Source organism: Homo sapiens, chromosome 8 (genome assembly GCF_000001405.40).
Source record: "Homo sapiens chromosome 8, GRCh38.p14 Primary Assembly".
Classification (NCBI taxonomy): domain Eukaryota; kingdom Metazoa; phylum Chordata; class Mammalia; order Primates; family Hominidae; genus Homo; species Homo sapiens.
In genome coordinates, this window is record NC_000008.11 from 24289553 (window position 1) to 24316611 (window position 27059).

Here is a 27059-nt window from a genome sequence, read left to right on the forward strand (position 1 = left end):
AACTGATCAAAGGCATGTCACGACTACAAGAGAATTGAAAAGAGCCGAAGAACAAGTGCCAATTTAAAATTCCACATGGATCAGCATGCAGACTGTCATCATTCACCATTTCCAGGGCACTCCCCTCCTCAAGAAGCAAGCAGGAAGGTTATACTTCTCATTCGATCCCATCAGTGGTGACCATTCACCACAGCGTCAAAGTCAAGCACAAATACTTAGCAGGATATCTTCCCATTCTCTCAGGCATTCTTTGCTCCAACAATTCCAAACACTACCAGCCATAAACTAATGTGCTATAATATATTGTCCTTATTTATTCTCATAATTCTTTTTTTCCAACTTTTATTTTAGATTCAAGGAGGTACATATCCATCTGTTACATGGATATATTCCGTGATGCTGAGGTTTAGGGTACAAATAATCCTGCCACCCGGGTACTCAGCATAGTATCCAATAGCTAGGTTTTCAGCCTTTTCCCCTCTTCCCTCCCTTCTCCAGCAGTACCCAGTGTCTATTGTTGTCATCTTTATGTCCATGGGTACACAGCGTTTAGCTCCCATGTATAATTGAGAACATGCAGTATTTATAGATTTTGGATATTAGACTTTTGTCAGCTGTGCAGTTTGCTTATATTTTCGCCCGTTATGTAGGTTGTTGGTTTGCTCTGCTGATAGTTTCTTTTTGCTGTACAGAAGCTCTTTAATTTAATTAGGTCCCACTTGTCCATTTTTGTTTTCATTGCAATTGCTTTTGAGGACTTAAGTCATAAATTGTTTCCAGGGCCAATGTCCAGAATGTCATTTCCTAGGTTTTCCATAGTTTGAGGTCTGACATTTAAATCTTTAATCCATCTTGAGTTAATTTTTGTATATGGTGTAAGGTACCGGTTTTCTGTTTCTGCATTAATTCACTTAGGTTAATGGCCTCTAGGTGATCCATGTGCTGCAAAGAACACAATTTAATTCTTTTTTATAGCTGCATAGTATTCCAAGGTATATATGTACCACATTGTATTTATCCATTCCACCACTGATGGGCACCTAGCTTGATTCCATGTCATTGCTCTTGTGGATAGTACTGTGATGAACATAAGCATGTGTCTTCTCGGTAGAATAATTTATTTTCTTTTGGCTATATATCCAGTAAACGGATTGTTCGGTCAAATGACAGTTCTGTTTTAATTTCTTTGAGAAATCTCCAAACTGCTTTCCAGAGTGGCTGAACTAATTTACATTCCTACCAACATTGTGTGTTTCCTTTTCTCTGTGGCCTCACCAGCATTTGTTATTTTTTGACTTTTTAGTAATAGCCATTTTGGCTGGTGTGAGTTGGTACCTCATTGTTTTGATTTGCATTTCTCTGATAATTAGTTATGTTGGGCAATTTTTTCACATGTTTTTTTAACTGCTTGTATTTCTTCTTTTGAGAAGTGTCTGTTCATTTCTTTTGACCCTTTTTTTTTTTTTTTTTCTTTTTTTTTGAGACGGAGTCTTGCTCTGTCACCCAGGCTGGAGTGCAGTGGCGCAGTCTTGGTTCACTGCAACCTCCTCCTCCGGGTTCAAGTGATTCTCCTGCCTCAGCCTCCCAAGTAGCTGGGACTACAGGTGCCTACCACACGTGGCTAATTTTTGTATTTTTAATAGAGATGGGGTTTCACTATGTTGGCTAGACTAGTCTCGAACTCTTGACTTCAGGTGATCTGCCCACCTTGGCCTCCCAGAGTGCTAGGATTACAGGCATGAGCCACTGCACCCACCCTTTTGCCCATTTTTAAATGAGGTTACTTATCTCATGCTTGTTCAATTGTTTAAGTTCTTTATAGATTCTGGATATTAGACTTTTGTCAGCTGTGTAGTTTGCTCATATTTTCACCCGTTATGTAGGTTGTTGGTTTGCTCTGCTGATAGTTTCTTTTTGCTCTACAGAAGCTCTTTAATTTAATTAGGTCCCACTCATCCATTTTTGTTTTCATTGCAATTGCTTTTGAGGACTTAAGTTATAAATTGTTTCCTAGGGCCAATGTCCAGAATGTCATTTTCTAGGTTTTCCATAATTTGAGGTCTTACATTTAAATCTTTAATCCATCTTGAGTTAATTTTTGTATATGGTGTAAGGTAGGGGTCCAGTTTTATTCTTCTGCATATGGCTAGCCAGCTATCCCAGCACCATTTATGAAATAGGGAGTCCTTTTCCCAGGACTCCTGCCACCAGGATGCACTCCCTGCCCTGTTTGGTGTAGACCTCTGACTTCTATTGATAAATCTATTGTAACACTAAACACCTTGTGATATTGTGATCATTTATAGGTGGTACTCACTCTGTGCAATTTTATGGTAATTGAACTTATCTTTGTCAGATTGTGAACATCTCAATGAAAGTGATTGTGTTTTTTGTTTGTTTGTTTGTTTGAGACACTGTCTCGCTCTGTTGCCCAGGCTGGAGTGTGTTGTTGCAATCTCAGCTCGCTGCAGCCTCTGCCTCCTGGGTTCAAGCAATCAAGCAGTTCTCCTACCTCAGCCTCCTGAGTAACTGGGATTACAGGTGACCACCACCACACCCAGCTAATTTTTTTTTTTTAGTAGAGATGGGGTTTCACCATGTTGGGCAGGCTGGTCTCAAATTCTGATCTCAGGTAGTCTGTCTGCCTCAGCCTCCCAAAGTGCTGGGATTACAGACATGAGCCACCACTCCCGGCCATGATTGTGTTTTTTCAACTGCAATCTCAGTGTCTGACACATAATAGCTGTAAGTAAAATTACGTTGAATTAATGGAGAAAAAATATGTAATAATTAAAAGTTGAAGTATCCTTTCTGTTCCCTGGAAAAGACAAAGCAATGGAACTTGGGTTGAAAAGGCAAGAAATCTGTGAATCGCAATCCTGATGGTTAAAATGCTCAGTAACTAGACTCAAAAATTCCTTTGTGGTTTTAGTTGATGACTGTATAATCATTTGGAGACATCAATAATCACTGTAATCCCTCTAGTATGAGAATGTGTTTCAGAATCTGTAAAATGATGCATGATTTTAGTGGACTAGGACTAGGTTTTGTGGTAATAACTGGTCCTCAGCGTAATTTCTATTCCTTAGGAATTTCATAATTATTTCTATTCTCCCAGAATCTTTTCAATAGAAATGATACTGGGAGTACAAGTCAGCTAAGCCAAGGGAAAGCATTAGAGTATATGACTAAGAGCCCAGACAACACATAGTTCAGATTCCACTTCTACCACTTACTGGATAGGTGACTTTATCTGCTTAATCTTCTTAATCTATACAATGAGGGGACAACTGATTCTTAATCTTTTGAATTTTGCCTTTAAAACCCCAAATTTTCACCTGCAAAATGATTGTAAATGCATAATACATGAGTATCATAAAGACTAATAAAATAACAAGTACAGTAGATTTAGGAGAGTACCTGTATTAGTCCATTTTCATACTATCACGAAGAAATATCTGAGACTGGGTAAATTAAAAAGAGGTTTCATGGCCTCACAGTTTCACATGGCTGGGGAGGCCTCACTCTCATGGTAGAAGGTGAAGGAGGAGCAAAGACACATCTTACATGGAGGCAGGCAAAGAGAGCCTGAGCAGGGGAACTGCCCTTTATAAAATCATTAGATCTTATGAGACTTATTCACTATAATGAGAACAGCATGGGAAAAGCCCGCCCCTTGATTCAATTATCTCCCACTGGGTCCCTCCCACAACACATGGGGATTATGGGAGCTACAATTCAAGATGAGATTCAGGTAGGGACACAACCAAACCCTATCAGTACCTAAAACTTAATAAGCAGCTCAGTTGATATTAGTTATTTTATTGGTTATAAGTATGATTTTTAGACATGCCCAGTTTAGCCTTACTACCACCAGTGACAGATCCTAAAATTGTATCCTTTGGGTCTTGAATCCTTCTTCCACACTCCTCATTGCCAGTTATGACACAAATACCCCCAAGGATCTAAAAATTATTGTGCTTATATTGTCAGACATTCTTATTTCAGGATAGTTCAAACTTCCTGAGAGTACACTTGTGTGAGGAATAGAACATAAAATAATGGAAAAGAGAATGCTATATAGTAATTAGGTTGAATTAGAAATTGCTTTACATAACCACATTATGTATGTGGGGGAAAAATAACATTCTTAATAACTTTTTTCCTACAACTGTATATATATAAAAATATATTTAAACATATATTTATATATCATATCCGTAATGTAAATAAATGTCTAGCATGTTTTTCAAGACTCATTAATGCAGTTGCCTCTTTCCTTGTAGCTTATCTGGCTATAGTAATATGTTGGAAATGTACTACTTTGGAGTGGGGAGTATGGCAAAGGAGAGCAAAACAATAGTTCAGATCAAGTAATCTTAGAGCCAGGAGGCAGCCAGGACTTCCGCCTGCTGGGCCATTGTTGCAGGACCACAGCTTCGAGGTTGCGCAACACCTTTAGTAAACACTTCCTGAATCAGAGACAAGAATGAACCAGGGAGTTTCATTCTGTCTCACTGGAGAGGAGGCAGGGACAGACCCAGCAGCACCCACCTGAGCGAGAAGAGCAGACACCGTGCTCCTGGAATCACCCAGCATGTTGCAAGGTCTCCTGCCAGTCAGTCTCCTCCTCTCTGTTGCAGGTACATATTTAGCTCTTTTTCAGGTTCTATTGAATGCATTAGCGAACTTTTCATAGTCTCCTAATAGTTTTATTGTATAAACTATTTTGACTTTTTTCTTTTTCTTTTTTCTCAATCAATCTTACTAACCAGTTGGGCTGGTTTTAACCTGTTGTTTGGGGGCTGCGAGTGATACAAAGACAATGTTAAAAAGAGGCAACAAGAGGTCTTGAACCAATATGTATGCATCTCATCTGAGAATATACAGAAATAAAAGGGACAATTTCATACAGCACAATTTAAATCATGAATATGATTTTTGACTGAAAAAGTGGAATTCATCAAAACCCAGCTTGTCATTTAAAGAATGGTAAAGATGTGGCAGATTTATTTATTTATTACTGTGTACAAGGCTTAGGAAAATACCTACTATTATTATGGGAGCCAGTTTGGCTCTTTCTGTTTGAGTGTATATTTTTGTATTTACTCATTATTAGTAATAATACGTGTGACTAACTGGAAATAATTAATATTTTTTATTTATAAGGTACTGTGATATTACTTAACAAAATATCTCTGTTAAGCTTAAATTGATAATTTACTTCTATTTTGCTGATTATACCAAACATTTAAAAATTTGAAAGGAGAAAAATACTACTTCCTAACAGGAAATTATGTCTAGCAAGTCTCTCAATTTCTGGTAAATTCTCTAATTAGACTTTGGTTAAATTAGATTGGGTATTGTGATTCTTCAGCTTCTATTTCCAGAGCTTATTTAACTCAGCACATGAACTGCAGTGCCTCGAATTCCTCCCAGTAAACCTGTTCTTGGGTCTTAGAATGTTTGCTGGGACCTGGGGATGGGAACAGATTATCAACTAGAGGTATGGGCTTAGGGAGGGAAAAGTTTTCCTTGTCCATGCACCCTCTTAGTACTTTGTTGCTAAAAATGATTTTCCTGTGTCTCACCTGTTTCTGATTTGTTTTCAAGACTTATAAAAATTTCACTTAACCTAATATCTTTAAATATCGAATTATTTTCCTTTTGTTTCTGTGTATTTTTGCTTTATATAATATGTACCTATATCTGAACTGAACCTTTTCCCACTGTGCTGTGATCCTCTTCATCTCTAATGCCTTTTGCTTTGATACCTATTTTGTCTGATGTGAACGTGTTACACCAGCTTTCTTTTGGTAAAATAAGCCTGAAATATTAAAAATATATATAAAACTCATGCCAGGCATTTAACATTGACCTGAAATTCCTACTTTTTGAGGCAGACTTAATAGAAATGTTTTTTTCTCTCCGTTCTCCAAAAATGCTATCACCAAGAGCTTTTCCAGAACCCCCTCTAAGCTGAAATACAAGAACTGCTTGGGCACTAGCTTAGTTGAAGAGCGTAAAGATCAAGCTGGATCCATTAACAGAGTCACATGGCTAACACTGGGGCCCATGCACATTACAGTCCTTTTGTGCAACTGGGCACACTAATCAGTTCTGCTGCCCCGACGGTGCATGTATAACATGGCACCAAGAGATGCAACTTCCTCTGATGTCAACTCTAAAAGTGTGATGTCACCCCTCCTTTAACTTCTAGCTTCTATTTTTAAGGGTGTCTTTTTGCCACTGAACTATCCCTGTTATGATTCCCATTTGGGTTGCCTTTCTAGTCAGAATATAAGAAGTAAAGCAATTTTCATTTCCCAGTTCTTCCTGTTTGTTCTCTGCCCCCATCATCAAAGCAATACATATGTGCCCCTCTGACCATGACTTCTGCCCAGTCCCCAGATGGTTGAAATAAAAGAAAGAGATGTAAAATAAGGCTGGTTGTGTGCAGTGAACTTCACAATCCCGAGAAAAAATTGACTTATGGGATTTCATCCTAGGAAAAGGAAAAACAAATATTTAAAAGGATGTGACAGGTGTTTGCGGGGTGAAGATGTAAATGATTGCATCAACAAAGGAGAAAGGTGCTTACCTTATTACAGCAGAATACTCAGGGGGTACAGCACTTTTTGAAATTATTTTATTTCAAACTACCAGTTCTTCCTTGCCTTTATAAGGTAACTGGAAGACTGAAAAGAAAATATACAGTTTAATCTAAATAGTCAAAATAACAGACCTAATAGAAATGCAGTTTTTTCCCTTTTGTTTGTACTCACTTTTAATGCATGAAGTTTAAAACCACAAGATGGTTTGAGGAGATGCAGAGAATCCCAGGACATAAGTCAATATCCTTGTGTAAACCCTAATTCAGCGTTTAATATGATGTGTTCAGTTTGGAAAGAAGACATTTCTTTGAACAGTTTCAAACACATTTGAACGAAAATGAAAATGTCAATATTACATACTCATGTTCCCATTTCCAAAATGACCCCAAACACATGAACAAATAATGTAGCAATCCAGACTAATGTCTCTCATATTAACGTTGTTAATGAGCTTTGGCTTTTCTAAGACTCAAAACAGTCAAAAATAATTATCCCATCTAAACCAAAATAACAGTTTTCTTTTTCCTGATCTGGTTTTGCTAGTCAAGACTAATCCAGTGTGTGAGTTCTGTGGGAGAGAGAAGGCAAGTATTAAAATGAATTAGTAAAAACATATTGTGTTACACCTTGGATTTGTGTAATCCCTGGATGGCAGTTAGTTGTGTTTGTTCCTCAGGCTTCAAAAATAATTAACGTGATGTTATTCAGTGGGGAAGACGCTGCACCATTTCCATTAAACTTAAGGATGGATGAGCTAAACAATATTTAGGTCTGTTACATCCCTACAATGGCTGTGTAATTTGTTGTATTCCAGATCCCATTATTTCAGGGACTTCTAGGTTTCCAGAAAATAAGAGCCTTTAAGAGAAATTCCATTTAGTTTCTTTAGAGAATATATGGAGTGACAGGAGTTTGGAAGGAGCTGGAATTCCATTCACTTCAAACTGAAGAGATTGAGAGGTTGCCAATGATTTCTAAAAGAAATGTTGTGGGTTTTTTTTTGTTGTTGTTGTTGTTTGTTTTATTTTGCTTTGTTTTTGGTTTCCATTTGGAAGTGTTCGGCCACCAAAAAGTTGGAAATAAATTACATAACTTACATATTTTAAGCCCATATTTAAGAGCCAGTTTGCAATTTCTAATTTCATGAAACATTGGGATTCAGATACTAACTAGAAGCATAGAGGTCAGGGTGCATGTGAGAGAAAATTTGTGTTGGCTAGATGAGCCTGTTTTCCTTCTTACCATTTCTGAATGGTGCTGAGAAGGAAACTCACTTCATTTTCTGCTTTTATACAAAAAATCGGGAACGTAGCTATTATTTTATTCCACGAAGGCAGCTTGGACTACTATTTCCTGTTAGAATCATGTGTGTTCTAATATAGCATTTAAAAAGATTTATGTTGGCTGCAACATTGGTGAAATTTGGCTTCTTGAACTCTCTATCTTAACAAGACTAATTGCATTGATTAGCTACTGTAATGTACCAGGCAGCACGTGGGTGCCTTATGGTATGCTTGTTTTGTGTCCCTGAATTAAGGAGGCAGCAGGGAATTGTGTCAATATCATCAGTTAATTTCTGGCAGGAGTAATTTTCTTACCTCTTGGCATCTTAGTGTTTCAAAATAATTACAATAATTAGAAAAATTTTAACTCAGAAAAAGAATCATCAATTTTTCTTTAGGTTTTTGAACTTATGTTTCAAAAATTTTTTATAATTGATGTTATTCTTTTCCTTTACCAAAAGTTAATTTAATAGAAATAAAAGACGCCCAGCGATTACCTCTGTGACAGCAAGAAATGAGGAACTGAAGAACCCCGTGATGTTGTTCTTGAAGTGTGACAATGTAATGAGGCTTATTTTATCACATTGGATCAGAATTCAGTTATCCTAATGATCACTGACTCTTGAAAGAGGTTATAGGGGATTCTGTACTTGTATGCATAAATCATAAACCACTTGAACTAGCTTTAGAAACCATTTAATTGGCGTCCTTTTTTCAAACTATTTAAAGACTCAAACCAAATAAAAAAAATAAGGTATTCTAATGTCAGTGCCATGGCTTTAAGTAATTTTGAATTTTTTTTTAGAGTAACTCTTACACCACTGAAAGAAAAGATAGTTCATTACTTTAACACCCCATTTTTGACTCAAAGAGTTCTTAGCTGGTTTAAACCCTTTTTCTGTTCTTCAAAGTTAAATGTAAGTGACTCTTGAGTCGTTAAATGAATTAAAGTCATTCTCGAGTAATTTTTAAAAAACGCTGTTTTTTGAAAGTTTATGCTTTAGTTTCTGAAGAAAACTTTAAACAATGTTTTGCTCTGTGGGAAGTGACTGGAGTAAGTGCACAGTCCTCCTAGATAAGCAAGGAATAATACTTATTAAGTGCCTCATCTATGTTTGTTAAAAGATCAACCACAGTAACATAAATGTATCTCACCATAGAACTTAAGATTTGAGTACTTTAATGAGCTGGCATTACCTTTAGAGACCCTCCTAGTCCTTACTCAGAGAAGAGAAAAAAACCTTTTCAGTTTTAGTCTTAGAAAGTTGTAGAGTTAGGCCCCATTCTGCTACTGCAGTCTACATTTTGGTTAAGCCTGTAGCCACCTGTAGCAGCTAAGGAGCAGGTCTATCGACTATATACAGAGCAGAGACTAGACCACATGGGCAAATCAAAAAGAAAATAGAAAATCTAATGTTAGCTTCGAGAAAATTGAATCTCTCTCTCCAAAATGACTTCTAGGCCAGGTGCTGTGGCTCATACCTGTAATCCCAGCACTTTGGGAGGCCGAGCCAGGAGGATTGCTACAGCCTGGGATTTCAAGACCAGCCTGGGCAACATAGCAAGACTACTTCTCTAATAGAAAAAAAAAAAAAAAGCCAGGCATGGTGGTGCACACCTGCAGTCCCAGCTACTCTGGAGGCTGAGGTGGAAGGATGGCTTGAGCCCAGGATGTTGAGGCTGCAGTGAACCCTGTTTGTGCCTCTGCACTCCAGCTTGGTGACAGAGTGAGACATTGTCTCAAAATACAATAAAACAAAATGACTTCTAAAGACAACATGGAGAGGAGCATTTAAAATGCAGATAGGTTGGATCAAATCACTTTTCAGTTCTCTTTCAATATGACTGCAGGCTCAAAAAAGTCCTTCCAGGCCAGTGATTCTGTTTGAATTATCTGCTTCTCTAATTTTCATTTTTTAAATGTTCTGTATGCAAAAATAAGGTTTTTCTGTACTGCTTATGCCAGCTCATTCTATGAACCTAGTATTGGAGCCTTTTCTTACTGTGACATAGTTTTTTTTTATTAGTATAGAATATTGCTGTTTTCAAATCCAAGAAAAATAGAATAAAAATTGTGCACATTAGTTATTTTATTTTTCTAACATTGTATGGTTTCCAGTGCTTCAACCCAATTTTTCTGGGACTGATTCGCTTCTCAGAGGATTACTTTCGCTTCTATCTTCACTTCTTTTTGCCTGAGCTGTTGCTATTTCCCTGCACTGCAGGATCAAAGATAAGAAGTGGGAAAATCCAAAAGAAATACTTTCTCTAAATACAGTAACACCTGTAAACTTTTAGTGGGGAAGGATCTGAAGATATAGGCTAAAGTAAAACTTTAAGAGGAAAGAGTAGCTTTCTGAGGTTGTTGCTCTCTTCTGGTGTCAGCACATTAATCACTCTGACATTCATCACTTCAGGCTTCTGTGTGTGGCATCGTTCATTGGGAATGCAGTAAGGATGGCCTTTACTGACCAGCCTACTTCAGTTCTACCTGGATAAGTCTTTTCTTTTTCTTTTTTCTCAGTAAGTGCTATAAAAGAACTCCCTGGGGTGAAGAAGTATGAAGTGGTTTATCCTATAAGACTTCATCCACTGCATAAAAGAGAGGCCAAAGAGCCAGAGCAACAGGTACAGCTTTTGATTTATCAAAGGATCTTGATTTGAGATACATATATACACACATATATATATCTATCTATGATGAGAGATAGATATGGGATTTATACATGTATGTTTATATATGTGTGTGTGTGTATGTGTGTGCCTGTGTGTTTCAAGTGGAATTTGTGATGTTTTCAGCAATTACACCTTGGAGTTAAATAACAATGATTATATTTGTATTTGTTTTTGACCTTTTAAAAAATCTTCACTATAACCCAAAGTTATATTATTAACCTCATTCTACAAATCAAGTTTCTGAGAAGTGAAAGAAACTGTCCAAGGTTAAAAAGAGTAAATTTGTTTTTTGTTTTTTGTTTTTTTTTCCAGACAGAGTCTCGCTCTGTCGCCCAGGCTGGAGTGCAGTGGTGTGATCTTGGCTCACTGCAAGCTCCGCCTCCCAGGTTCACGCCATTCTCCGCCTCAGCCTCCCGAGTAGCTGGGACTGCAGGCGCCCGCCACCACGCTCGGCTAATTTTTTTGTATTTTTAGTTGAGACGGGGTTTCACTGTGTTAGCCAGGATGTTTTCTATCTCCTGACCTTGTGATCCGCCCGCCTCGGCCTCCCAAAGTGCTGGGATTACAGGCGTGAGCTACCGCCTAGCCATAAATTTAACATTTTATGATGATTTATTCTACGTACTTCCAAAAGAAAATTGGATGCTATCTCTCTATCTATCCATCCTTCCAAACACAACTATGACAATTGAAACAGAAACAGAAAACAAAATACAGCAGGTGAATGCATGTATATATGCACATTAACATGAAATTTACCTGTCTTTTCTGAATAGGCTCTTCTTAATGTTTGTACGTTTCTTACTGCAAATGAAACAACATATTCTCAGTCAACATTTACTCAATAAACATTTATTAATTCTAAGAGAAAAGCTAAAACATGATGATTCATTCAATTATAACAATGTTATAATTACCTGCACTCTTAAGTCTTCTTCTGGGAGCCAGCAAGATACAGATAAATGAGACACAAATAATAGTTTACAGAAATACTCTGAAATCCAGCACACTCGGTGCACATATTCCCTCACTGGACACGGTTTCCCATAGCATTTCTTCTAAAGCAAATTTATGAAAACAGAACCTGTATTTGACCCCATTTCCCAAAATAATTATCAACCAAGTGGTTTCACTAACTTCAGATGGAACCCAAAAGCATAGGATTCCCCTTCAATATGACTTTCTTCAAATGCTCTCTAAGACTTTCTTTAAAATGTCAGACACCTTTTTTCCTGTTGTGCATTATGCTTATTATCTGGGTGACAAAGTAATCTGTACACCAAACCCCCATGACATGCGATTTACCTGTATAACAAACTGGCACAGGTATCCCCTGAATCTAAAATAAAAGTTGGAAAAAAAAATAAGGATTTTTAATATATTTTCATATTTAGTCCTTTCAACAAACATATAACTTAAGTGTATTTTTACAGTATTTTATTTCTAAGTGGAGAGATAGGGGCTCAGAAAATTTAAGTACCCTGCCTAGGAGCACATAGCTTATACGTTTTCTAGCTAGGATTCAAACCTCTGTTTGACTCCAAATGACAACTTTATGTGTTAGTATTATTTGTGGCTGCCTATCCAAGCAGCTAAATTGATTTAATATATGGGAGAGTCCATATGTTCTCCTGAGAGCCTCTGTGGGATCAACACAGGCTTTCTGGCCATTAAGGTAGCTCAAGTTCTGTTACACTAAAGTCTAAGAGTCAGTCTGTAACCCTGAGACACTGACCAGTTTGTTGTATCGTTTACTGTTAAAAATAAGAGACTCATCAGCTGAATTTTTTTTCTAATAACTTTTTGTCTTTTTGAAAATTCTATTTTAAGTTCTGGGATACATGTGCAGAATGTGCAGGTTTGTTACATAGATAAACGTGTGCCATGGTGGTTTGCTGCACCTATCAACCCATCACCTAGGTTTTAAGCCCAGCATGCATTAGCTATTTTTCCTGATGTTCTCCCTTGCCCCGCCGCCTACCACTCCTCAGAGTGTGTTGTTCCCCTGCCTGTGTCCACGTGTTCTCATTGTTCAGCTCTGAATTATAAGTGAGAACATGTGGTGTTTGGTTTTCTGTTCCTGTGTAAGTTCACTGTGGATAACGGCTTCCAGCTCCATCCATGTGCCTGCAAAGGACATGATCCTGTTCCTTTTTATGGTTGCATAGTATTCCATGGTGTATATGTACCACATTTCCTTTATCCAGTCTCTCACTCATGGGCATTTGGGTTGATTCCACGTCACTGCTACTGTGAATAGTGCCGCAATGAACATGTGCATGCATGTATCTTTGTAATAGAATGATTTATATTCCATTGGGTATATACCCAGTAATGGGATTGCTGGGTTAAATGGTATTTCTGGTTCTAGGTCTTTGAGGAATTGCCACACCGTCTTCCACAACGGTTGAACTAAATTACGTTCCCACCAACAGTGTAAACGCATTCCTATTTCTCCACAGCCTTGCCAGCATCTATTGTTTCTTGACTTTTTAATAATCACCATTCTGACTGGTGTGAGATGGTATCTCATTGTGGTTTTGATTTGCATTTCTCTAATCATCAGTGATGTTGAGCTTTTTTCATGTTTGTTGGCTGCATGAATGTCTTCTTTTGAGAAGTGTCTGTTCATGTCCTTTGTCCACTTTTTTTTAAAAATTATACCTTAAGTTCTAGGGTACATGTGCACAACGTGCAGGTTTGTTACATATATATACATGTGCCATGTTGGTGTGCTACACCCATTAACTCATCATTTACATTAGGTATATCTCCTAATGCTATCCCTCCCCCCTCCCCCCTCCCCACAACAAGCCACAGTGTGTGATGTTCCCCATCCTGTGTCCATGTGTTCTCATTGTTCAGGGTTGTTTGTTTTTCTTATAAATTTAAGTTCCTTGTAGATTCTGCATATTTGACCTTTGTCAGATCAATAGATTGTAAAAATTTTCTCTCATTCTGTAGGTTGTCTGTTCACTCTGATGATAGTTTATTTTGCTGTATAGAAGCTCTTTAGTTTTATTAGATCCCGTTTGTCAATTTTTGCTTTTGTTGCAATTGCTTTTGATGATTTGTCATGAAATTTTTGCCTGTGCTTATGTCCTGAATGGTATTGCCTAGATTTTCTTCTAGGGTTTTTATAGTTTTTGGGTTTACATTTGAGTTTTTAATCTATCTTGAGTTAATTTTTGTATAAGGTGGAACAAAGGGGTCCAGTTTCAATTTTCTGCATGTGGCTAGCCAGTTCTCCCAGTACCATTTATTAAATATGAAATCTTTTTCCCATTGCTTGTTTTTGTAAGGTTTGTCAAAGATCAGAGGATTATAGATGTGTGGTCTTATTTCTGACCTCTCTATCCATTTCCATTGGTCTATGTGTCTGTTTTGTACCAGTACCATGCTGTTTTGTTTACTACAGCCTTGTAATACACCTTGAAGTCCGGTAGTATAATGCCTCCAGCTTTGTTCTTTTTGCTTAAGATTGTCTTGGCTATACAGGCTCTTTTGTGGTTTCATATGAATTTTAAAGTAATTTTTTTCTAATTCTGTGAAAGATGTCAATGGTAGTTTAATGGGAATAGCACTGATTCTATAAATTACTGTGGGCAGTATGGCTATTTTCACAGTATTGATTCTTCATATCCATGAACATGGAATGTTTTTCCATTTGTTTGTGTCCTTTCTGATTTCCTTAAGCAGTGGTTTGTGTTCTCCTTGAAGAGGTCCTTCACTTCCCTTGTTAGCCATCAGCTGAAATTTTACAAGTTCACCTGTATCTTCTTTGTTATCAACCTTTTGCTACTAAACCAATGATTAATTGTGTCCTTGTGGAAATTTACACTAATTATCTACTCTTTATGTGTTTTTTTCTCACAGTAAACAATGCTTCCAAGAAAACCCAACATTTACACACACACACACATGCACGTGCACACCAAACACCCTTTTTTCACTGAACATTTTGAGGAAAATTTAAACACAAGTGAAGTGTTTTTAATCACAGCTGTGAAGTGATTTCCTCACGACTGTAAAAAATAAATTTGAGTTTTGAATATATATTTTGATTAACGAAAGCCATAGACTAGTTACTGGCTCATACTAGATGAACAATATTAATTTTTGCAATGATTGACTAGGTGGATGAGGTTGATATAATGTGCTTGATATTTACTGCAGTTATATTATTTATCTAGTCCATTACTAGGTTAAATGGCTACATGAACCTTACATTTTCCTGATCCATAGTGCAAGTATATAGGAGCTGAATTCAGAGGATTAGTTTGTGTTCACCTGTAAATTTTGTCCATTCTCTCTGTATAAATTTAGACAAACATAAACCTTACGTTTCTTGTCTTAAAGTGGAGATGATCATAATACTTGTATAAATATTTGGGGATAATGTATATGAAAAGCAAGGAAGGATCCAAATTTTAACTCCCTATTCAAGATTATGCTATGGGCTGGGTGCATTGGCTCACACCTGTAATCCCAGCACTTTGGGAGATTGAGGCGGGTGGGTCACCTGAGGTCAGGGGTTCAAGACCAACCTGGCCAAGGTTGTGAAACCTGTCTCTATCAAAAATACAAAAAATTAGCTGGGTGTGGTGGTGGGTACCTCTAATCCCAACTACTAAGGAGGCTGAGGCAGGAGAATCATTGGAAACCTCTAATCCCAACTACTAAGGAGGCTGAGGCAGGAGAATCATTGGAACCTGGGAGGCAGAGGTTGCAGTGAGCTGAGATCACGTCATTTGCACTCCAACCTGGGCAACAAGAGTGAAACTCCTTCTCAAAAAAAAAAAAAAATAGATTATGCTATGGTGCTGCCCTGTGTAGCCCATCATATTCCAGTTCTTATGACTAATTTTCAGTTTTTGTGGCTTCATGTCCCAGTTAATAAACCTTTATTTTAAAATTCTTCTTTTCGACATAAATTATCAACTTCAGGTTGCTTTTCTTAATAATATTCTTGTTTCTACTTCTATGTTTTTTTTAATGGATTTCTTGCTACTTAAAATATTCTCTCTACATTTAGAGTCCCTCCCATTTAGGGGACTCTATATTTAGAGTCTCTTATAGTCTTTGTTAAGCTGACTTGCCATATTCATATATACACTAATATATCCCTATCCTGAAATCGTGCGTCAGTCACAGTCAGTATTATAAAGTTTAGCTACTGATTTTAAAAAGAAATGTTGATTTTGTGTCAGGAGCGATGGTGTGTTCACAAGTGTGTGTATGTGTGTGTGTGCATGTGTTTCTATGAGAGCAAGTGTAACCTTCACTTCTGGTTTGAAACTGTCCAGGTAAATTTTTAAGAGGTTTCTTTTTTTTTTTTTTTTTTTTTTTTTTAAAATATGTCTTTGCTATGTCTCTACTCCTCCTTCACCCTCACCTGCCAATCCTTGTCCTGGAACATAAATACTTGTTTCATTAATACATGTTGGTCTAAATAAATACTTGCAAAGCACATTAATTTTATCTTTAAAGGAAATAAGAGTATTAAATAAACACCATAGATAATTGAAGAAAAAATTACCTAAACAATTAGAACCTTTTAATGTTCCTTTAAATGGAAAATCTTTTATTTTTTTAGTTTCATCTATTACATTTCCAAGTTCTCTCCTGCTCCCTTTGGTTGAAGAGTGTAGAAGAGAATATATTATGAGGCCTGATGAATATAATGGAATGAGCACTGAATGCTTCCACAGCATCTCAGAAATAAATATAACTCTCCCATGTTTACTTTTTAATATCTCAGGTGTCAGGTGACACCTTTGAATTACCCCACAATAACCATGTGGCTAAACCATTAGCAGTAAGTTTTGCCAGGGTTTAATTCCAGCTGTTCACAGGGAGATATCAAAAACCGCATGACAGGGTTGCCAGATGAAATACAGAGTACCAGTTAAGTTTGAATTTCAGACAAACAGTAAAACTTTTTTGTATAAATATGTCCCACACCACTTTGGGAGGCCGAGGCGGGTGGATGACGAGGTCAGGAGTTAAGAGACTAGTCCGACCAACATGGTGAAACCCTGTCTCTACTAAAAATACACACACACAAATTAGCTGGGTGTGGTGGTGCGCACCTGTAACACCAGCTTCTCAGGAGGCTGAGGCAGGAGAATCACTTGAACCCTGGGAGGCAGAGGTGGCAGTGAGCTGAGATCATGCCACTGCACTCCAGCCTGGGTGACAGAGTGAGACTCCATCTCAAATACAAATAAATAAATAAATATATATATATATATATATATTTAAAAATATATATATATATGTTCCACACAACACTTCTGATATAATTATAAAGAAGCATTCCAACAGAATGAATCTAATTTTCCCAGCTAGTGCATTTGCATCTCTTTTCCTTAGTCGCTGATCTCTAGTTTCTATTCTTTCCCACATCTTCTAAACTCCTCCATGTGCAGGATTGTCACATTTAGCAAACAGAAATATAGGATGCCCAGTTAAATTTCAAATAAACAACAAATATTTCATTAGTATGTCACCATGGTCATAGGGGGCATATGTATTTTAAAAAGTATTGTGTGTTTTTATGTATAAACAAAAAAATATTCTCTGTTTATCTGAGATTCACATTTAATTGGCATCCTGTATTTTATCTGGCAATCCTATCCTGTGGCTTTTGATATCACCCTGTGAGCATCCAGAACTAAGCCCTAGCAATCTGTCCATGATTCCAGATTCTGTCCTATCCACAGATCTAAGGTTCCTAATGCTGCTGCATGCCTCATATCTCACTCCTGCCCTGTTAGGGTTCTTGGGTTCTGCCATATCACAGTTGTTTTACAAACATAGACTGAAGAAGCTAGTGACATCTTTGTTTGCCACACAACAAATACATGATTTCCATTGGCATAGACTCTTCTATAGTCTCTCAGGCACACCTTATGACTAATAAGAACACTGTCTTCTAGATATAAGCCAAGTTTTAGGAGTTATCTTTGTAGTTTCTGTGTTGAGACTATGGGTCTTCCCTGTGCAAAGACTTGATTAGCAAATACTATTTGAAACGATCCCAAATTCATAGTGCAGTTGACCACCCTTCTGATCAAGGGGATCTCTGTATATCCCATGAAAGCTTCATAGGTCTCACCCTAGATTAAGTGCTTCACTTCTCAAGACAGTGAACAGATGGAAGACTTTTGTAGTTATCATTATACAACTGTGCCCTGTGTTGTTTTATTATACAACCAGAGAACTGAGGCACTGGCTTTACCTGTCAGCTACGCCAGGGTTGTGACGTCATCTTTCTGACTTGATCACACATGCCACATTGCTTAATATTTCAGCTAGACTGAAATAATCCTGTGTAAAAATTTTTGGGGGCTGGGAGTAAAGAACAAGGTGGAACTTTGAATATTTTATTCATAATCATATTCACGATTGTATTTATATGAATGACATAAGGACTAAATAAGTATGTGTTAAATAAATGACCAAATGAGTAAGTAAACTAATGGACAAATGAATAAATGTTTATGACTGGAGCATATTACCCATAAACCTCCATAGATGCATATTTAACCTATACTCTGTGAAAGTCCCTGATGCTGGGAACTTAAATTCTAAAGACAGTAACTATTCTTCAGAGAATTCAGCATCCAGATTGTACATGTTCTTAGAGGCCCAAACCATCTTGGTATTGGCCCATGTCGTAAAAGAAAATATCTTACAGCACAATTCCTCCCTCAGATTGAGAATTCTTTCAGGCCCATTAGCTGATTTAGCAGGGTTTCTAGAGCTCACGGATTTACTGTAAGTTTTGAACAACTGTTGTATTACTAGAATTAAGAACCTCTCTGTGTATTCTACGGCTGCCCTTGATATTTCCTGTGTGCCCATTGACATCCCCTAGACCTTACAGATTTGCTCCATCCCAGAAACATCCAGGACTGTGGCTTTCCCAATCCACCCACTAAATCAGACCCATGTCATTATTTTAGAGGAAATTTGGATCTATATGTTTCTGTGGTCAGCTAGTCTTACTCAGTAAAACCAAAATCATTTCCTTATAGTGAGTGCTCTCCAAATCAAGGTGCATCTTACTTCTCTTGATGCATACTTCAGAACCTACAGAGTACACAACTAGAACACACTTCTTATCCTCAAACCTTGCTCTCCACCAGGGAACTCTCTTTCAAAAGTATTATTATTACATTACCCAGTGTACTCTCTTTCATAGAGGCCCTGGCTTTCTTCCTTCATCTTTCCTTCCATCCATAATCTTTATGCCAGTGTTAACCAAAACTCCACTCCAAAAGCATTTATTCTTTTCTAAAACAACCTTCAGCTAAAGTTTTAGTAACTAAATCTACTAAAAAGCCATTGCTGAACAGGAAGCAGATATCTGGAAGGCCATTTCTGGTAGAAGACCATATTTGGTATCATTCTCATGGCTTCATTCTAGCTAGGCTTTCTTAATCCTGAACAGTAAGAGGTTATGACTATTCTGCATAACTTTTATTTTCAATGCCCTTTCTCTTTCCAGTTCCTGTCATCCATGAAAATAAGCTGAGTCCATCAACCTCTACTTATCTAGGCCCACATTTGGGGGAAATTTATAGCCTGGGATTACTGACAGCAGAGCAGACCTCAACAACTGAGGATTTAAGCAAAGTATGGACTGTAAGAATTGACTTTGGAGAGGGCTAAATCCCAGCACGGTGCTCATGATCTGATGATTCTAACATGCCTTGTCTGTCTGTGAGCTCAGATACCATACCGGCCAGAAGGGGAGGGAGAGAAGGAAGGCTTGAGCTTAGGTGCACCACAGCAGAAGAAACAGAACTCAGTCCATAATATGTGTTTCTCAACAACCTTTGGTCTACCATATTTAGATATCTTTAATGACAATAACGAGGCACTTCCTAATAACTTTTTAGATATTGAGTGCAACCACAGCCAATAACCCTGTTTTATAGACCAAAGTCAGAACTTAGTACCCCAAAACATCTTCTTTAAAATAATTCTGTGTAGTCCTCAATAGCTCTCCTTATATACCAATATCCAAGTTTAAAATAATTTTCCTTTTACATGGTTTACCCGAGGTAATATTTCTTCCTTCTTAAATACCTGGGACTGTGGTTTCTTCTTGATGGTTCTTCCTCACATTACAGTATACATTCCTGTTATGTTTCTCATAGTTTATGTTCCAGTTAGTCTTGAGAAGACTTCAAGACCAAAAATCATGAGATGTGATAGAAGTTTTTAGGCGTCTGTGTACACTATTCCTTCTAATCAGTTAACTTCCCTTACTCACTTCACCTGGGTAATTTATGTGTCGTTTTAAACATTACTTCCTCAAAAAAGCCTTTCCTGGCTTTAAGATGTGAGACATCCTACTATATACATCCATTATCATGCACATAACTCACCTCATTGTCTGTCTTTTCACAAGATCATAAGCTCTCTGACAGTACGTACCAATTTTTCTTGCTTAGAGTAGAATTTTCAAAACCAAGCAGTATCTTGCAAAGAAACAGCACTCACTCAAACGATACTTTAAAATGCAGGGATGGATGGATGGAAGGATGGTTGGAAGGGTGGATGGATAAAAGGCTCTCAGATAATTTGTTTATTTAGTTGCCAGAGTTGTTTGATCTGTCAAGAGGGGAAGAGGCAAGTATTTGGTATTATACTGCTAAAAAATAGATATTGCTTGCTAATGACTACACAGATAGAAATATAATAGTCAAATGAATATGTTTTTAATTACAAGTAAATGTTTGTGTATTTTTGCAGGAACAATTTGAAACTGAATTAAAGTATAAAATGACAATTAATGGAAAAATTGCAGTGCTTTATTTGAAAAAAAACAAGTAAGTATCTTTACCTGTGATATTATCCTCAGCAAGAGCAAGGCAGCCTATGGAGAGTGTGCTGAGTCTGTTGCTGCTTATGGCTCACACAAACCTGGACTAATCAGCGTTTGCTCTCAAATGACTTGAGAATTTCCATGGACTTAGCAATCAGCACAAGTAACCACAACATTTTTGTGTTTCTTTCTCCAGGAACCTCCTTGCACCAGGCTACACGGAAACATATTATAATTCCACTGGAAAGGAGATCACCACAAGCCCACAAATTATGGTATAACGGAGTCTCTTCAATTCTTTAATTAGGGTTTTACCCACAGACCTAAAGGTAGTGTCCTTGCCAGGCAAATAATAGAAGTGAAACTGCATTTGTAACATTAGTGCTTTTTTCAGCAGTAGCCATTACTTAAAATATAAAAAAAAGAAAAGTGGAAAATCAATTAACAAGAACAAAACAATTTCTTGGCAACTCCGGTAAGTTTTTCCAGCCTTTAAGGACCCCTGTAGGAGGGTGGGTAGAAGGAGCATGTTATTTTCTTGAGAGTGAAGAGTTACATACCTCTGGTGTTCTCAATCAATTTCTATCATTTCTCTGGATTTGTGGTCTCTTCAGCCAAGACTATTTCCTCAATGGCAATTGCAGAATTGCTTTTCTTAAACAATTTCTCTTTACTGCTATTCATAGCCCATCTTTTCTTAGACTGAGCAGATGACAGTGTGTAGCCATGTGAGGGGTCATGCACCATTACCTCTTTTTCTGAGCTCCATTTTCCATGGGAAGCCCTTCAAGCATTGTTCTCTGTAGCAATAATATCAGAGTTTACATGGGTCAACACCTCATCTGTCCCGAACTAGAAAGGTCCTTCATGGAACACCCACACGAAAAAATGTTAAGAAGGGCATTTTGCTCCAAATGGAGGCAAGAAATGTGCTGATCCAGTTAATCTGATGGAACGCTTTTGATAAATCAAGAAAGAAAAAACAAAAACCCAATCTAAATAACCTATCCTTTGGAAAAAAGCTTGTAGATCTTTGCTAGAAAGAAGTTAATGAGAAAATGGCCAAAAGGAAAAATGAGTGTCCAGTGTTTTAGGAGCTCAGGTTTTAAACTGACATATCCAAGTTTATTCCATCTAAGTATTATTGACATTCATCCTACTTAGTCAACATTGACAGTTAATACCTTGTAAACATTTTGGGATCATTAACTGACATTAACAATTTTAACTTACATGAAAGATTTTAATTATTTTTTAAACATCTTAGTTTACTGTTGTACAGCAGAATATTGTTTGAAAGCATTTAAAATCCTGTTTCAAGATTTCAGATGCGGCTTTAGCAGCGGTGCTAAAATTCACATGTACTTCTCTTTACAAAACCCCTTTTCCTTTAGGATGATTGTTATTATCAAGGACATATTCTTAATGAAAAGGTTTCTGACGCTAGCATCAGCACATGTAGGGGTCTAAGGTAAGACTTCAGGAATGTTTTGCATGTACCTGTGATTGTGGTATTTATGTATGTATCTAACCAACCAGATGAATCCCAAATATCATTAATTTTTATATAGTTGAATATAAATCATAAGGGCCATAACATTTTGAAATTTGAAGAAACACCGCTTCTCTTGATAGTGGCTTGTAAATTACATATCCGAATTGCTTTCAAATATATTTTTGTTAGTTTAGTTTTAAAATACAGGATTTTGAATCCCAGTTCTGGAGTCAGAATCTTTAGGTAATGGGAGCTGCTCTCTCTTCTCGCTCTTCACTTTATTTTACTCATTGATTTAGATGGAGTCTTGCTCTGTCACCAGGCTGGAGTATAGTGGTGCGATTTCAGCTCACTGCAATCTCAGTCTCCTGGGTTCAAGTGATTCTCCTACCTCAGCCTCTCGAGTAGCTGGGATTACAGATGCCCGCCACCACACCTGGCTAGGTTTTGTATTTTTAATAGAAACAGAATTTCACCATATTGGCCAGGTTGGTCTCGAACTCCTGACCTCAAGTAGTCTGCCCGCCTCAGCCTCCCAAAGTGCTGGAATTACAGGCATGAGCCACCACCCCCAGACTCTCTCCCCACTTTAAGCTCTCACTCGCTCTCTCTCTAGATTGCCTTATCCATGACTATGACATACCATTCTGTCTGTTAATGATATACTATGCATCTGTCTATATATAGTAATCTATAGTAAGGTGGCTCTTCTGATGTCCAGACTTGATTATCTAATTTTCTTTTTCATATTTTCAGTTGGATATCTTAAAGAAACCTCAATCTCAGTATGCCTTAAACCAAACTAATGATTGTCTTTTGAATCTGGTATGGTTTCCATGTTCTTTATTTTAATCAATGGTATAATTAGATAATCACTTGCCCAATTCAGAAACCTAAATTCCTTGAGGTCTGCTTGCCCCTCAGCCCTGCATTTTCAATCCCTTACCAAGTCTTATTGATTCTATCTTCTAAACACTTTCTGAAATTGTTCATTCTGTCTCTACTACGATATCCTAGTCCATCTACCATGATTCCTTATGCAGACCATTGCAATAAACCCCATAATTTATCTTCTTATATCCACTCTTGCCATTATCTAATTTTATGTACATTTAATTCAGTCTGTCTATTATATCTCTTGTACTTTTTCTTCACATCAATTATTATAATTATATATAAGTACTTACTATATAATTATATATATTCTGTGATTATTTGATACACATCCATTTTCCTCATTTGAACATAAGCTCCATAAGAAAAGAGACCATGTCTTTATTTTTGCTGTCTACCCTTAGTCCAATGCCTAATGAATAATGGGTACTCAATGAATATTGGTTGAATGAACCCTGGTTCAAGGCTTTAGCAGAGAAAATTGAGAAGAAATTGATAATATTTATTTGTCATGTGCTTTACATGTTCTCTCATTCAATCTTTACTATCACTATATTAGGTAGGTATTAAGACAAATAAATGTGGAGAACCTGAGGCTTGTGAGTTTAAAGAATTTTCCAAATGTATCACAGTGAATGAGTTATAAAGCCAGTATATTAACACTTATCTATAAAACTCTAAAATCCTTTTCATTATAAGTGTACCTTTAGAACAAGTATAGCATTAAAATTGGAAGAATGCTGTACCAAGTGTCAGGAAATATTCATTCTAGTGCCAGAACTGATATGGTTGCTTGTACAACACTGCAGCAGTCACTTCTCCTTAATATGTCTTATTTCCTTGTAGAAAATAAGTTTAGATAATCTTCAAGGTATCTTCAGCTGTAAGTTTTACTGTATTTTATTGCCATGAGCTTAAATTGTTTTTGACATTGACTAGGAATTTTAAAGGTCCTCTTTTGGATCTTATAAATCTGTATGAACCTAATGCAACAATATTTGTTAAGAAGCCAGAACTCTCATGTTTTTTCAGGGGCTACTTCAGTCAGGGGGATCAAAGATACTTTATTGAACCTTTAAGCCCCATACATCGGGATGGACAGGAGCATGCACTCTTCAAGTATAACCCTGATGAAAAGAATTATGACAGCACCTGTGGGATGGATGGTGTGTTGTGGGCCCACGATTTGCAGCAGAACATTGCCCTACCTGCCACCAAACTAGTAGTATGTGTAACTTTATTTATTTGAAATGCTCTCATGTATTCTGCCCTGGTTTCCAGAATTAGCAGTGCAATTTACTGAAACTATAGTCATTGTCAAAATTAGTAAGTTATAGAGACACTAATCCTTAAATATTGCTAGACATTAATGATTCATTTAACAAGTACTTAGGAATCAACTATTTTTTTTTTTTTTTTGAGATGGAGTTTCACTCTTGTTGCCTGGGCTGTAGTGCAATGGTGTGATCTTGGCCCATCACATCTTCCACCTCCCAGGTTTGAGTGATTCTCCTGTCTCAGCCTCCTGAGTAGCTGGGATTATAGGCATGTGCCACCATGCCCAGCTAATTTTGTATTTTTAGTAGAGACAGGGTTTCACCATGTTGGTCAGGCTGGTCTCCAACTCCCGACCTCGGGTGATCCACCTGTCTCAGCCTCCCAAAGTGCTGAGATTACAGGCATGAGCCACCGCACTTAGCCGGAATCAACTATTATTTTCAGCAATGTACAAAGGTTAAAAATAAGTGTAAAATATAACTGCCCTCTAGAAGCAGGAATCTGTCACACTATTCCCTGTAGCCTACAATAAACCACAAAGATATAAAGTATTATTATTAATTTACTCTTGATTTTAGCCAAAAAGCTATGAAGTGATTATTATTATTTTGAAATATCTTGCTGTCATCATAAATTCATTCAACAAATCTCTCTTAAAGTGCTGTCACAGGTGCTGGGAAGATAGAAATGAGCAAAATAGACATAGAATCTGGCTACAGGAACTTAGAATATTATTTTATGTGTGGAATTCTGCTTCTAGTCATAGGAGATAAATGAATATAGTTTTGTGTTTTAGACTGTATATATCAAAATATCTTTGTTGACCTTACTTTTATTTCTTATTGATACTGCTTTTATTTCCAAGATTTATTTCAAATCCAATCATTTCTTTTAAATGTTCTCAGAGTCTGTGAGCAAAGGGTATAATTGGTCTAAATAAAATTTCTAGTCAGTTTAATTTTCTGTAGGTTTAAATTCTACCAGCAAGTTCAGTAGTAAAGGTAAATGTATAGTCAAACCCAGAATACTCCAATATTTTAAGTGCTCTGTAGATCACATATATCTCTAGTATGACACTTAAAAATCAAATGAGTAAAAAATAATGATGCCCATAATAATTTGTTAAGAAATATATAATATAAAATATGTATATTGTGACATTAAAAGTATAAATTGTCAGGGGGAAGATAAAAGTCTAGAGTTTTTATACATGACTGAAGTTAAGTTGTTATTGGTGTAAGATACTCCATTACAACTATAAGATGTTTTATGTAAACCTCACGGTAAATACAAAAAAAAAAAAAACTATAGCAGATACAAATGATAATGAGAAAAGAATAAAAATGCAGCACTACAGAAAAATGACCAAATCACAAAGATAAACAAGGGAGGAAGAAATGAAAAAGAAATCTATAAAACAAAATGGCAGTAGGAGATCCTTACCTATAAATAATTACTAGGAATGTAAATGGATTAAATTTTCCAATCAAAAGATAAAGAGTGGCTGAATGGCTGAAAAAACAAGATCTGACTATATGCTGCCTCCAAGAGACATTTTTAAGCTTTAAAGACATGCATAGGCTGAAAGAAAAAGATGGAAGAACATATTCCATGCAAATGGTAACAAAATAGACAAACTCTTAGGCAGACTAAGAGGAAAACTCAAATATATAAAATCAGAAATGAAAGTGGAGATATTACAAAAGATGTCTCAGAAATGAAAAAAAGATCTTAAAGGACTAATATGAAAAATTATTTGTCAATAAATTTGATAGCCTAGAGAAAATAGATGAATTCCTAGAAAAATACAACCTATAAAGGTTGAATCAGAAAGAAGTAGAAAGCCTGAACAGACCAATAACAAAGAGATTGAAATAGTAATTAAAAATCTTTCAACAAAGAAAGCCTAGGACTAGATGGCTCTAGAGCTGAAAAGTATCAAACATTCAAAGAAGAATTATTACCAATACTTTTTAAAATTTTCAAAAAAATAGAGACAGAAGGTGTACTGCTTAGTACTTGTTACAAGCCCAGCATTACCTTTATACCTAACCCAAGACAAAGACGCCAAAGAAAGGAAAACTACAGGCCAATAATTCTGACAAACACTGAGGTAAAAATTTTCAATAAAATATTAGCAAATCAAATTCAACAACACATCCAAAAGATTATACATCATAATCAAATGGGACTTATCCTTGGTATACTGACTTAACCTACACAAATTGATCAATGTAGTATATCAATTATATCAACAGACTGAAAGACAAAAAATACATGATCATATCAATTGGTGAAAAGGCATTAAACAAAGTTTAACATGCTTTCTTGATTAAAAGTTTAGGTAGTTAAATAATGGTGTGGAGTTAATGGTTCTTGATTTGAGAGTTTAGGCATAGAAGAAAAGTTCCTCAACATCATAAAGGCCATTTATTTATTTATTTATTTATTTATTTATTTATATTTTTTAGCAGTCAAATATACCTTATTTTATTCTCATAAAATGCTACAAATTATCTTGATTTAGGATATTTGTAAACATTCTATAGCAGCTAGGAACATGTTTTTCCAAAACCAAATAAAGTTTTTTACATGCCAGTTACATTTCAGAGATTTTGTCATTCTTATATTCTTCTTTCTTCATAAAAGTAAGTGCTTGCTCAAATATGTGGGCCTTCTACTGAAATTCATTTAATATATAACTTTTATCCTTGGCTTAGTTGGAATTCGAGTTTTGATAAGAAAGGTGTGGTTGAATGGACATAATCATAGGCTTTCAGCAACCACACAAATGTTGATAGTGTGCAATGCAGTTGTTGATGATTAAACAATAATGAAAATTTAAGAACACTGTTGCATTATTTTATTTGAAGCTGGAATGATGTGAAACTCTAAAATATGTCTCAGCCCAAGCATTAAGGTTTACCTGCCCACTCTTCTTTCTCCTTATTTATTTTTTAAATTAAAAGCCATTTATG

General features: G+C 36.5%; 1 protein-coding gene and 1 long non-coding RNA gene across 19 annotated transcripts in view; one reads left to right on the forward strand and one right to left on the reverse strand.

Annotated features, from left to right (window-relative positions):
* The window catches only part of ADAM28 (ADAM metallopeptidase domain 28), a 64946-nt gene continuing 42403 nt past the window's right edge, over positions 4517 to 27059 (forward strand). For 15 of the 18 annotated variants that reach the window (NR_130710.2, XM_005273380.5, XM_017012974.3 and 12 more), the window contains exons 1-6: positions 4517 to 4643; positions 10422 to 10525; positions 20342 to 20418; positions 20611 to 20689; positions 21809 to 21885; positions 23836 to 24028. Coding sequence is in view for 15 of the 18 variants with exons in the window: in XM_005273380.5 (XP_005273437.1) it covers positions 4598 to 4643; positions 10422 to 10525; positions 20342 to 20418; positions 20611 to 20689; positions 21809 to 21885; positions 23836 to 24028 (576 nt within the window). In the remaining 3 variants the exon portion in view is untranslated. Of the gene's footprint in view, positions 4644 to 10421; positions 10526 to 19088; positions 19217 to 20341; positions 20419 to 20610; positions 20690 to 21807; positions 21886 to 23835; positions 24029 to 27059 lie in introns of those variants that run through there. The other 3 variants (XM_047421272.1, NR_130709.2, XM_047421273.1) reach the window with 3 other exon arrangements.
* Positions 6262 to 27059, reverse strand: part of ADAM7-AS1 (ADAM7, ADAMDEC1 and ADAM28 antisense RNA 1) — a 252805-nt gene continuing 232007 nt past the window's right edge. Inside the window, exons 4-6 of the long non-coding RNA NR_125808.1 lie at positions 11333 to 11377; positions 6602 to 6698; positions 6262 to 6505 (exon numbers count right to left, since the gene is read on the reverse strand). This is a non-coding gene — a long non-coding RNA (ADAM7, ADAMDEC1 and ADAM28 antisense RNA 1). The remainder of the gene's footprint in view (positions 6506 to 6601; positions 6699 to 11332; positions 11378 to 27059) is intronic.